This window comes from Homo sapiens, chromosome 11 (genome assembly GCF_000001405.40).
Source record: "Homo sapiens chromosome 11, GRCh38.p14 Primary Assembly".
In the NCBI taxonomy this organism is placed as follows: Eukaryota; Metazoa; Chordata; class Mammalia; order Primates; family Hominidae; genus Homo; species Homo sapiens.
This window is the reverse complement of record NC_000011.10, coordinates 128,530,387-128,543,261: the sequence shown is the minus strand read 5'-3', so window position 1 is coordinate 128,543,261 and position 12,875 is coordinate 128,530,387. Positions and strand designations below refer to the sequence as shown.

Sequence of the window (12,875 nt, the reverse complement as noted above, 5' to 3'; positions counted from 1 at the left end):
TCAGTTTATTTTGAAAAATAAATTATTATAAAAAAATACCTCTTTAAATAATTTTTTTTTTTTTTTTTGAGACAGAGTTTCGCTCTTGTTGCCAGGACTGGAGTGCAATGGCACGATCTGGGCTCACTGCAACTTCCGCCTCCAGGGTTCAAGCAATTCTCCTGTCTCAGCCTCCCGAGTAGCTGGGATTACCCGAGTAGCTGGGATTACAGTCGCTTGCCACCATGCCCGGCTAATTTTTGTATTTTTTTAGTAGAGACGGGTTTTCACCATGTTAGCCAGGCTGGTCCTGAACTCCTGACCTCAGGTAATCCACCCATCTCGGCCTCCCAAAGTGCTGGGATTACAGGTGTGAGCCACCACGCTGGGCCTAAAGAAAATTTATAAATCAAAGAATAATAGGGAGGAAAGGCATTTTGGTGTCATCACTTAAGGGTTAATACATGGAGGGTGTGTTCCATGGGTATTTTTTGTGACAAGTGTTCACCTGAGTCACACACAGATACCTCAGACTTAAAACTGAGCTCACTGCTTTCTCTTGACTCTGTAACCTGTAACTCTGTAGCTAGTGGAGGGGTTGTTGCTGTCTTTATCTTCTCTCTTGTTTTGATGAAGGTCACTATCAGCTACCAATCACCAGGCTAAGGAATTGGTAGTTATTGACTCCCTCTCCCGTTTTGTTTTGTTTTTTTTTTAATACCTTAACACTTGTGTTGGTTAAGGAAGGATCTTTTTGTTTTTAAGTGGCAGAAACCTGAATCAAACTAGCTTCAGTGTAAGAAAGAAATTCCTGACTTAACAGATGGGAAGTCCAGTAGAAGAGTCAGCCTGGTGATTCCAGGGAATCCAATAATCTTCTAAAGTCTCTCTTTTACCCTCCTCTTCCTCCCTCTTCTCTTCCTGCTCTTCCTCCTCCCTCTTCCCCTTTTCCTTTTCTGTCATTCTAGCTCACATCTGCTTTGGTGGAAGAAGAGAAGTCCATAGTCATAGACCTCATCAAAGAATGCCTTGTTCATAATGGTTATATATAAAATTCCTGGTCTGTGTGCCCATCCCCAAGGCAATGAATGAAATAATGGGGCTGGGGCATTCTAATTCACCATGTGAGACATGTACCACCTCTGTGAATAGAAGGTGTAGGGGGTACTGTGATCAGCAGTTCCACCAGAACTATACTGTGTAAAAAAGAGACAGTTTCCTAAAGGAAAATGGGGGGTCCTGTACTGGAAAAAGAAGGAAAAGACTACAGATAGAAAAGCAGCAGATGGCCACTCTATTTTCATATTCAGTCACAAGTCCCATTGACTTTATCTTCCACATTGTTCTCGTGTGGAGCCCTTATTATAATCAATACCTGTGTTGAGACCCCAATTGTGTTCCCATGATACTGGTGAATACCTGTATTGTAGAGATCATTGCACCATATTGCAATCATTGTTTTGTCTTTCCTCTGAGACTATATACAGCTTGAGGTCAGGGGCTTTGTCCTTGTCATGTTTCTAGTACCTAGCAGAGTGCCTAAATTGCCACGGACACTCAGTTAAGGTCTGTGGAGAATCAAACCAGGTTATTAAATTAATCTGTCAGGATCATTGTGGGTACTACCCAAGATTATAAGGATTGGTTAAGAAGTAACAAAAATTAAAACAAAACAAAAGAAAACAACACAAACTTTGCAGTAATTTGGAATAAAACCCAAAGATCAGCTCAGAAGACTTTTTGTGTTATGGTTCCTCTCATTCTAAGGCAAAAGGACTTCACCATTTATTTCTGTATCCTCAATGCCTAGCCTAATACTTGCCACAGAGCAGAGGATTTGATAAATATTTGTATCCTGGTTGTCCAAACTTGTCCTAGCTAGTGGAGGGATGGTTGGTGTCTTGGTCCTCAGTTAGATCATGGGTAATTCCAAGTTACTGACTGGTTTAGGGTGTCAGTGACATTAGAGCATCTTTACTTTGTCCCCTATTAATCAACACATATTTATTAAGCCCTTGTTCTTCATGAGGCGTTGGGGCTATGAAGTGTGGTTCAGTCTCATCCTCAAGGAACATCACGCAACCTGGCTGCCGTGCTGAGACGGACACAGCCAAGCTGCAGAGCTGGTGAGCACCAGGGGACTGGGAATGATGAGAGGGATGGTCCTGTTGAGACTAGAATTATGGAGAGACCCTCCTGAGGCCTCCCAGTCACGTGAAACTGAGGGTGAGGGGGTTTGCCTTGAGGAGCACTCATTCATCCAAACTTAGTTGGCAGAATGAGGACAGAGCTCGATTTGGAAAGGGGTTGTTTTACTGGTGTTTGGAAGAGTGGCCACTCCGGCTCTGCTTTATGTATCCTTGAGCGTTGTTATTCTTTCTTCTCTCTCCTGTGTTGATTTTCACCTCCCTCACCCTGGTCTGGCCTCTCCGTGGCCTTCCTGCCGCTTTCAGAGATGAGCTTAGACTCCACACGGGGCTCCCAATCTGAATGAAATATCCCATTCCTGGGACCGCTGCTCCCTCACTTCATTAGTGCTCCTTGCTGTTTATAAAGCCAGGAGATAATATTTTTAAATTCCATTTGGAGTTTCCCGGGCAGCCTCTCTCTAAGCCACTTAGGAAGTTTAGAAAAGAAGGTCATGGAAATGTTAGACATTTTTCCACTGAACTTTGGTGAAGCATATGGTCTTAAGATGATGTTCATAGACCCCACTGGGCAGGCTTTCCTGGATGATAGGAAATTCTCCCTCTTTTTTTGTCTTGCCTTCACCTCCAGAAAACCAACTTTTTTTTTTAAACGGTTTATTGAGGTGAGCTTTATTGAGATATAATTCACATACTATACAATTCACCTATTTAAAGTGTACAGTTCTGTTTAGTGTATTTACAGTATTGTGCAGCTATCATTGCAATTTAATTTTAGAACATTTTTCTTCTTCTTCTTTTTTTTTTTTTTTTTTGAGATGGAATTTCTCTCTTGTTGCCCAGGCTGGAGTAGTACAATGGCACAATCTCCGCTCACTGCATCCTCCGTCCGCCTCCTGGGTTGAAGTGATTCTCCAGTCTCAGACTCCTGAGTAGCTGGGATAACAGGCGCCTGCCACCACACCTGGCTAATGTTTTGTGTTTTTAATAGAGACAAGGTTTCACCATGTTGGTCAGACTGGTCTCCAACTCCTGACCTCAGGTGATCCGCCCGCCTTGGCCTCCCAAAGTGCTGGGATTACAGGCATGATCCACTGCGCCCAGCAACATTTTTATTCTTCTTAACAGAAATCTTATATCCATTAGCAGTCGATCTTCATTCTTTCTCATTCTTCCTGTCTCCACACCTCAACAGCTACTGGTCTAATTTCTATCTTTATAAATTTGCCTATTCTGGAATTCTCATAAGTAGAGTTATATAATATGTGACCTTTGTGACTGGCCACTAAGCATAATGTTTTCAAGTTTCACCCATGTTGTAGCAGGCATCAGTATATCCTTTTATCATCAAAATAATATTCCATTATATGGCCATGGCACATTTTATTTATCCATAATTTGATGGCCATTTAGGTGCTTTTCACTTTGTGGTTATTATAAATAAGGCTGCTATTAACATTAATGTACAAGTTTTTTGTGTGAATATGTTTTCATTTCTCCAGGGGTAGAATTTCTGGGTCGTATGGTAACTCTATTTGTGGAACTGCCCAACTGTTTTTGAAAGTGGCTGCTTCATTTTACATTCCTACTAGCAATGTAAGAGGGTTCCAATTTATCCTCATGGTGAATGAGCAGTAGTATTTCATTGTCGTTTTGATTTGCATTTCTTTAATAATTAATGATATTGAGCTTTTCTCACGTGTTTACCAGTCATTCTTATACCTTCTTTGGAGAAATGTCTATTAAAATCCTTGGCCCGTTTTTAAATTGGGTTGTCTTTTTATTGTTGAGTTGTAAGAGTTCTTTACATATTCTGAATACAAGCCCTTATCGGGCATATAATTTACAAATATTTCTCCCATAAAGTGAGTTGTCTTTTTACTTTCTGGATGTTTAGAATTTGCAGCACCATAGGTTTTAGATTTGATATAGCCCAATTTATCTATTTTTTCTTTGTTTTTCTAGTGCTTTTAGCATTGTACCTAAGAAATTATTGCCCAACACAAGGTTATGAAGATTTAATCCTGTTTTTTCTTATATGAGCTTTATAGCTTTAGCTCTTACATTTATGTCTCTGATCCACTTAGAGTTAACTTTTATGCACAAAGGTCTAGTTTCTTTCTTTTTCGTATGTGTATCTGGTTCTCCCCTATTATTTGTTAAAAGAGTATTCTTTCTCCATTGTCTGTCCACTGTCGTGGATAGAGATTTTTAAATACATATGTCACCTACGAACTACCTCCTTAATCTATGGCAAAATAATTATTTGTATTAAGTGGTTCCTCAATACTGCTCACTACAGTGCATGAGTATTTTGAGGATACCTGAGTTCAAACCTGGTTTGGTGTGTGTGTGTGTGTGTGTGTGTGTGTGTGTGTGTATGTGTGTATGTGTGTGTGTGTGTGTTTTCACCTGAATAAAACTACCAGTATTCATTCTTCACTTTTAGCCAGGCACTGCCATATATTTTACATACATTACCCTGTTTAAATCTTACCAAAGATTCTGTGAATTATTAACTCCATTTTACAGACAAGTAAATTTTTCAGGCAGGGAGATTTATGTAGTTGAAATAACTTGCCAAAAGTTACACTCTTTGTGAGTGACAGACCCCAGATTTGAGCTCAGGTCAGCCTGACTCTGTAGCCTGGTATGAAACACTGTACCGGTCCTTGGGCATGTTATGTGAAATAATAGTAACCAGGAAAAGCAACATAAAGCAGCCACTATGTGCGCAATTTGTGAAGAATGCAGATCTGAAAATCTAGTTATGCTAAATGGCTATCAATTTCCTCATCTCTAAATAGGAAGGTTAACGCCCCCCCTTACCTCCTGAATTACAATCAAAGTATTTAATTTTCAAGTTACTTCTGTGTGTTTGAACTCTAAGAAGGAAAAATAAGTCAGTAGACTTTTCTAGGATAATTTCATCATACTTTTATTAATCAGTTGTTTAAATCTCATTTAATGCGAGTGTTTCTGCTTAAGACATTAATTTTTTTTTCACTTTTCTTGTATTTTCTTCGGTAAGTTTCAAAGAAAGTCACTAATAGTTGTGTGGCAAACATCCCAAATCTACTGAATTTACCATATACAAGACTTTTAAGAAAATGAATATATTCAATTTGAGGGAATAAATACTGTGAATCCAAGGAAAGTGGAAATACCTCTTATATTGAAGGTGTCAATACATATTATTCCTGAAGTCATCTTCTAAGTCCTCTTCCCCATCTCATTACTTCTTCTCCCTTCTTGTAGGTGCTTATTTGGCCTTTGGTGAAGAATTTGGGATATATAGCTTTAAAACAATGGAATATTTCCCAGAATGTATTGTTTTTGTGTTTGTAATGCTATGTCCTATTTGTCTTGAAGTCTCTATTGGAACATGTTATTACAGAATTCCAATATACACGTATAAGTGGTAAAAAAAAAGCACAATTAGAAATATATGTTCCGTGACCAGCTGCTCTTATTTAGTAGGTTTCCCAGTGTTTTCCTGCTGCAGCTGCTAGGAAGGTGTGCACCCGACTTTGAATGTTTTGGGTGCAGGAGTTTATTTCATGTCAGTTTCCCTTGCTCCTTAGTTCCCAGGGGTAGGGAGCTGAGCCCTTGCTTTCCTTTCCTTTCCCCTAATTCCCAACTGCGATTTAATTCCTCCTCCAGTTCATACTTGAACTCAGGCAGATACATCACTTGGGATCCTACTGTATCCACCTCCCAATGACAGCTTTGCTTATTCCGACTCTGAGTGGAGACAAGTAGGAATTAGTGGATTAATAGTCTCTTTATTCACCATGCCATGCTTTCCCTCCCTCTCCCCCTACACACTCTGTGTTAGTGGGAAAATAATGTCTCAGGTAAATTATGGTACATAGTGATAAAAGGTCTAATTAAAAAAACCAACAAATGACGACTAAAGACTTGGCAGGAGAAAATCACATTTTAAGGACTTTGGTAGGTGAAAGTGATTTTGGACACATGAATGATTTGAAAGAGTTGAGCTAATATGCATCTTCAGTATTTTGCACAGCTGACTTGGATCAAAGTTGTGCAAAACATTGGAGAGAGTCTCTGTACCCTGGACAGATACTGCATACAGTGAGGCTGGGATCCTTTCCCACCTCTTAGGCATTTCTCAGAGGTGCTGTGAGGTGATGTTGGAATTATTTTGTGATCTTTCATGCTAAATAAGGTAAAGCATCCCTATTGTTTTAATCAAAGGAAAGAGGTGATGTGTATTCATATTTACTTCTGAAGTTTGACACATAAAAAATTTAAAATGACCCAAACTTTATGAAGAGAGTATGAAATGAATGTCTGCTAATTGCTCTTCTATGGGATCTGATTTGCAGAATTACAAGGCCAGCTTAGCCTGAAGTCATTGCTTAAATAACCTGCTAACTGGAATGTATTGACATGAACTGTCAACACGGCTGCTCCCTTCAACCAATTCCAAGCTCTTTCTCCTCCTAATGAGAGGCTTCTTGTGTGTCTTGATTTGGCTGTTATGCCTCTTAACATTGCTCACAGTCTCAATTGGATCAGAAAACAGCTTTTTCTAGACCACAGAATGTATGCTATTCTCTGAAATCTTAAGCTCTTAAGATCTCTACAGTCTGTTTACCCAATGTATTGAATTCTTGTACCCAATATCTCATGATAATGTTCATTTATGATACATATTTCTTCTCTTCTTACTATTTGAATAAATTATATTGACTATATGCATCTTATATTTTTATTTGATTAATACTATGACATTCATTCCAAATCATTCTTCTTTTTCAACCATGTTTTCCATTTATCTTTGTTGAAACAGTTTTATTTCTGCCTTATAGTTTACTTGGTCTGTCCTTGACAAATTAACAGGTGTGATTTTCACATGCTTAATTCTCAATGGCTGCTTTGTATACATGTATACATGCCAAGCTGCATCTGGAGGAGACAAATCTATATAAAAATGAGGGTCTCTTTGTCTTTACTTATTATCCTATTTTTTATGTATTTAGAGGTCTTAGATTACTCTTCTTTAAGGAAACATCTGAGAATGGAGGCACACTGTGGTAAGGGAGAGTAATAAAGAACTTACTGCCAGCCAGAGTCTAATTTTACAGCTTTTAATCCATTATGATCATTATAAAGTGAGCATTCCACTTTAACAAGTAGGAACCTTGCCAGAACAAAGTGACTGCCAAATGAATGACAATGTTTGCTTGCTTCATCTCAGGTTGGAGGTTGCAAACTCTTACTGATACAATTACTGATTAACTACAAGATCATGGAATCTTCCTGTTGCTTTGTGTCTTAATTTCTCTTTCTATCTGGAAGGTGCCCATGAATATTAGAAAGACACAACTTTTCAAAAGTTGAGATTGTGGTGGTAAAATAGCAAGGAAAGAGCTGGCCCTAAATGTCATCATGCATAGACATGAAGGTACACAGGATTCATCAGGCAGTGAGTGATTTTTGCCATAAGACTTGATGTGTCAGGGATGAGACCCACTCATTGACTTTGGTTGTTTTTAAATGTTTGGGATTTGGCAGAGTTCAAAATCTATTTTGCCAAGTCCTTTAATTTTTCTTGTTTTCCAATAAAAACCCTAGAAGAAAATCTAGGCAATACCATTCAGGCACGGGCAAAGATTTCATGACAAAAACATCAAAAGCAATTCAACAAAAGCAGAAATTGACAAATGGAATCTAATTAAATGAAAGAGCTTCTGGACAGCAAAAGAAACTAGCATCAGAGTGAACAGACAACCTACAGAATGGGAGAAAATTTTTGCACTCTATCCATTTGACAAAGGTCTAATATCCAGAATCTACAAGGAACTTAAACGAATTTACAAGAAAAACAAAACAACCCCATTAAAAAGTGGGCAAAGAACATGAATAGACACTTCTCAAAAGAAGACATTTATGTGTCCAACAAACATATGACATAAAGCTCAACATCACTGATCATTAGATAAATGCAAATCAAAACCACAATGAGATACCATCTCATGCCAGTCAGAATGACGATTATTAAAAAGTCAAGAAACAACAGATACTGGCAAGGCTGTGGAGAAATAGGAATGCTTTCACACTACTGGTGGAAATGTGAATTTGTTCAACCATTGTGGAAGACAATGTGGCAATTCCTCAAAGATCAAGAACCAGAAATACCATTTGACCCAGCAGTCCCATTACTGGGTATATACCCAAAGAAATATAAGTCATTCTATTATAAAGATAACATGCACGCGTATGTTCATTGCAGCAATATTCACAATAGCAAAGACAGGAAATCAACTCAAATGCCCATCAATGATAGACTGGATAAAGAAAATATGGTACACACACACCATGGAATACTATGCAGCTATAAAAAAGAACAAGATCATGTCCTTTGTAGGGACATGGATGGACCTGGAAGCCATTCTCCTCAGCAAACTAACACAGGAACAGAAAACCAAACACTGTCTGTTCTTACTTATCAGTGGGAGTTGAACAATGAGAACACGTGGACACAGGGAGAGGAACAACACACACTGGGGCCTGTTGGAGGGGTACGGGGAAAGAGAAAATCAGGATAAATAGCTAATATGTGCAGGGCTTAATACCTAGGTGATGGGCTGACAGGTGCAGCAAACCACCCATGGCATATGTTTATCTGTGTAACAAACCTGCATGTCTTGCACGTGTATCTGAACCTTAAAATAAAATATTCTTAAAAAAGGAAAAAATTTTCTTGTTTTCATTGCTAATTTTGAGGTCTATGAGCATTTCATGGAAAACTTAAATTGTATATGGGATTTCTTTATAGTCTAGTCATCTACTCATCTGTATGGGACATCCAAGAAGACTGGTGAGTCTTCCTAAAAACACTTGGAAGGAAATTTTTTATGGTCTAAAGATTAAATCAGCTAGAAACCTCAAAGACTAGTTTGAAAAGTTAAGCTCTAGAACTATTAAGCAGAGTTAGAAAATAGCTGGCCTGTTCTCCCTCCATTTTTATCATTTAAAAAATTGTATTTAAAAAGTGCATGTGTAAACATGTGTGCATGTGTAGGAGATCTGACAATTTCAAACAAAGAAAACCATGTCATAAAATAATAACGCCCTTTACTATGCACAAAGACCATCTGTAGCGAAGCTGGAAGTAGGCCTGAATGTACCATCTTAGATCACATTTGGTATAAAGTGGTTATTTTATTCATTCATTTAGTCATTCTTTTACTTACTCATTTCATTTACTCAGTTACTCAGTTATCTATTCTTCCAACACTTATTAAGCATTCACTAAGTCCTTGTGTTTAAACTGGAAATTCAAATTTAAGTAGAATATGATTGCTGTTCTTGAGGGGCTCAGATTATTTTTGGTAACGTAAGCGCCCCATTGGAAACCTATATGTGCTGCTGAGAGCACAGAGTAGGAAGTGCCTGATTTTATCTAGCAAGGCCTTGGAAACCATGGGGGAGGTGATTTACTGCTGAGTCTTGACAGAGGTGCTGGGCAGGTAGAACAGGGCTTTCCAGAAGGGAAAAAAGCCTGTAAAAATGCATAAAAGAGTGAAGAACTAGAGTGTGTTCAAGGGATTGCCACAAGTCCAGGATTGTCAGAGAGCAGGGTCCCTATGTGGGGGAGAAGGTGAGGTGTGGTCAAAAGGTAAAGAGGACCAATTTTGGCCTTTTGGACTGTGCTTGGATTTTATCTGTTTGGCGGTGAGGAGTATCTAAGGGAGTTTAACCTAAAGGGTGGTCTTCTGCATCCTGTTTTTAGAAATCTGGTAGAAATGGCCACCTTGGCTGCATCTTGCCCAGGCTCTCTGACTTTCAGAAAAGTCCTTCTCTGACACTCTCCTGCAATGGCGGCGGCAGCCCTTGTGTATTGCGATGTGGGGAATGCTGGCCAAAGATTTTACACTGTGATGAAAACTTTTGCCTTTCCAAATAATTTATTTTAAAAGCAGTATGAACCTTATCCATTCCTTTAAGGTGGAGGTGACTAGCGTCTGGGCTTTGGATGGATATGGAGCGTGAACAAACTCACCAACATTGATAAGGATGGCTTTTCAAAGGCGACGGCTAATTGGCGATGGGAGCGGGGCTAAGGAGAAGTGGAACATTGGCTTGTCTATCACTAGGCTCTTTGCAGAGGTTTCTGACAGAGGAAAGCTAATCAGGAGACCTGCATGGGGAGAGAGGCGTGTTATTTAATTAGCTTTACAATGGGCTGACTTGAAGGCACGTGGTGGTTTTAATAGAGGGAGATAGATGTCCTTTTTTGCAGGGCTAATTGTTGGGAAAAAGCAGGGTCTTTGTTCAGGCCCAGCATGAGGGCTGTGATCTCTTGGAGCCTAGGGCTGCCCCTGCTAATAATTTTAGACAGAGCTATTCAAGGCTGCTCTGTAAGAGAAAAGAAGAACAAGAACAGTATTGTGTATGCAGGATCACTGCCCAAACCTCCCCAAAGTCACTGGGGAAAAAAAAAAAGGAGAGCAAGAGGACTCAGCCATGTACATTTTGGAGTATGTCCCCATCATTTATTTGCTCTGGTTGTTGGAAAGGGCAAAGTGACACTTCCATCAACTTGGAGCTGAGGTGGGGTGACTTAACTAAACACCCCCAGAAAACCAATTAAGTCTGCTTTCCCAATGATACAGCATTCATCTTGCCAAAATGGAGCGGGCAACTAGCGAGAAGACTATGACTGTTCTCTGCTGCCAGGCTTAATGGCTGGGTGCCAGGCAATGGTAGTGCCAGAATGCAGATTACATAGCTGATGTAAATGGCAAATTCTGTGTTTTTAGAGGGCAGTCCTAAGAGCACCGATGGTTTGACTGGTGGCCCAAGGGGCAATAAGAGAAACCTTTCCCTAAGGTTCTTTTGGGCAACTGGTCAGCATAGGTAGTTAACACCAGGGAGCAGAATACTTTTTCTGAATTCCAGGTGGCAAGTCCAAGCTTGCAGGGAGTGCTATCTAGGTCCAGAATTCTGTAGCTAAAATGTATGTGTATGGCACAATTAGAGATAGATAGAGGTTTAGGTTTATAGCACAAGTTAAACCGTTCATGCCACCACACTCCAGCCTGGGTGATAGAGCGAGACCCTGTCTCAAAAAACAAAATAACAAAAACAACAAGAACTGTTGGCTGGCAGGAAAAGAGACAGCCGAGGAAAATGTAAGATGCAATAACATAGAAAAAGACTTCTGTGAAGTGAGTGCAGTAAGGTGCTGCCTAATGGGTGCTAGTTTGGGAAGTACCTAGGCAGAGTGCTATGGGGGCATATTGAATAGCATGTGGGATTCTTCCCAGATTGAAAGTCAAATGCTGAGGCCAGTTGCTTAAGAAGGTCTTATTTTGTTTAGGTTGCAAAAATCATTGGCTATCAAACGTGCAATCCAGAGAGTGGAGAACCCAATACTGGAAGAAATTCAAGAGGGTACATATTCTCTTTGCTGCTAATTTGTAATGTAGCTGTGAGTATATGATTAGAACTTTCATAATTGTATCTCACATCTATATAGTGGGAATTAATCCCCTTTCATCCAAGAGGGATGGTGTCAAGGATTTGCATGATTTGCATACCTAGACCAAAACTTATCTTTGTCACTATGTCATGATTTTAACAGCGCACATGAAGATAGGACACTGTGTCCTCATTTCTTCATAAGAATACTATATACTACAGTTTGGATTAACATTCATGAAAATTTTATGCTCACTAAATCCGAAGTCACAATTCTGATTTTTAAAATCAATAATAGCAGTGAAGGGTTACTGAGTCTTCATTCTGCATCATGCACAGTGCAAAGCACTTGGCACCCATTCATCTCATCTCATCTCAGTTCAACTCTGTGAACTAGGCACTTTCCGCATCTCCATTCTGTAGATGAAGAAACTGAGGCTTTCTGAGGTCAAAGACTGACATCTGGAGAGCAGCCAAGCTAAAATTCAAACTCTCGTCTATTTACTGCCAAGCTTGTGCTCTTAACCCACTCTACTATGTTGCCTCCCTGGTTATTTTAGAGTTTAAATTTATTCTATAGTGAGGAAACCAAAGCCTGGTAGTTTCTGCTTGGCAAGAAACTGCAGGTTTTTGTATGGACTATTTGGAAACAGGAACACTTATTTGCAATAGCCTTTTTACCTCCACACCTCAGTTCAATTCAATTCAATTCAATTAGACAAATACACTCTGTAGGAGAAAGCATTAGCTCACTAAAAGTGGATGGATATGTAGATGCTGGACCTTTCCTGGATCTGGAATTTTGTTGCCAGCCATCTGGTCTCTCTCAATGCTGTGGAATCCCCTGAAAGAAAAGTTTATAATCTTCTTGATTTTTAGAAATTCTCAACAATTATTCAGAATTTTAAATTCCTGGAAAGGGTTCTCTCTTGGGAATCTGCCATGAGAGCGCTGACTGCCCTTTGTTTTTTCCTCTCACAGTCCATTGCCAGCTTCCCACCCAGCTGCACCTCCTCCCACCCCTCCTGGATGGGTCCCTTGTGGTACTTCCCACCCAAGGCCTTTTTGTGATGAAGTCTTTCAAGATGGTTTCCCAATCTGGGGAGAACACATGTTTCTGATCATTCTGATGAAACACGTTTCCATTAAGAAGCAACTTCTATATGCTTTCTGCTTTCTTCATTCTGCACGTTACCTGTCATTACCTCTCACTGCCAGCCCTGGACTCTTGAAAGTGTTTCACAGGCCTGTCTGATTAAATGGCGCCCTCTTACACGTCACACATGCCCATTT

General features: G+C 39.7%; 1 protein-coding gene and 1 long non-coding RNA gene across 6 annotated transcripts in view, besides 3 other annotated features; one reads left to right on the top strand and one right to left on the bottom strand.

Moving 5' to 3' along the window:
* The window catches only part of ETS1 (ETS proto-oncogene 1, transcription factor), a 128,794-nt gene that overhangs the window by 44,297 nt on the left and 71,622 nt on the right, over positions 1 to 12,875 (top strand). The gene's annotated exons all lie outside the window — the stretch shown is intronic.
* Positions 9,354 to 9,855: an enhancer, noted in NCBI's record as "NANOG hESC enhancer chr11:128403302-128403803 (GRCh37/hg19 assembly coordinates)". NCBI's record gives its function as "activates a minimal SCP1, AML or CMV promoter by ChIP-STARR-seq in naive H9 embryonic stem cells {active_cell/tissue: H9 hESC(naive)}" and the evidence as "EXISTENCE:reporter gene assay evidence [ECO:0000049][PMID:30033119]".
* Positions 10,025 to 10,722: an enhancer, noted in NCBI's record as "OCT4-NANOG-H3K4me1 hESC enhancer chr11:128402435-128403132 (GRCh37/hg19 assembly coordinates)". NCBI's record gives its function as "activates a minimal SCP1, AML or CMV promoter by ChIP-STARR-seq in naive and primed H9 embryonic stem cells {active_cell/tissue: H9 hESC(naive and primed)}" and the evidence as "EXISTENCE:reporter gene assay evidence [ECO:0000049][PMID:30033119]".
* Positions 10,212 to 12,873, bottom strand: LOC124902790 (uncharacterized). The gene is made up of 3 exons (XR_007062949.1): positions 12,788 to 12,873; positions 12,336 to 12,426; positions 10,212 to 10,299 (listed from the first exon to the last, which is right to left on the bottom strand). It is a non-coding gene; the product is annotated as an uncharacterized LOC124902790 (long non-coding RNA).
* Positions 10,723 to 11,420: an enhancer, noted in NCBI's record as "NANOG-H3K4me1 hESC enhancer chr11:128401737-128402434 (GRCh37/hg19 assembly coordinates)". NCBI's record gives its function as "activates a minimal SCP1, AML or CMV promoter by ChIP-STARR-seq in naive H9 embryonic stem cells {active_cell/tissue: H9 hESC(naive)}" and the evidence as "EXISTENCE:reporter gene assay evidence [ECO:0000049][PMID:30033119]".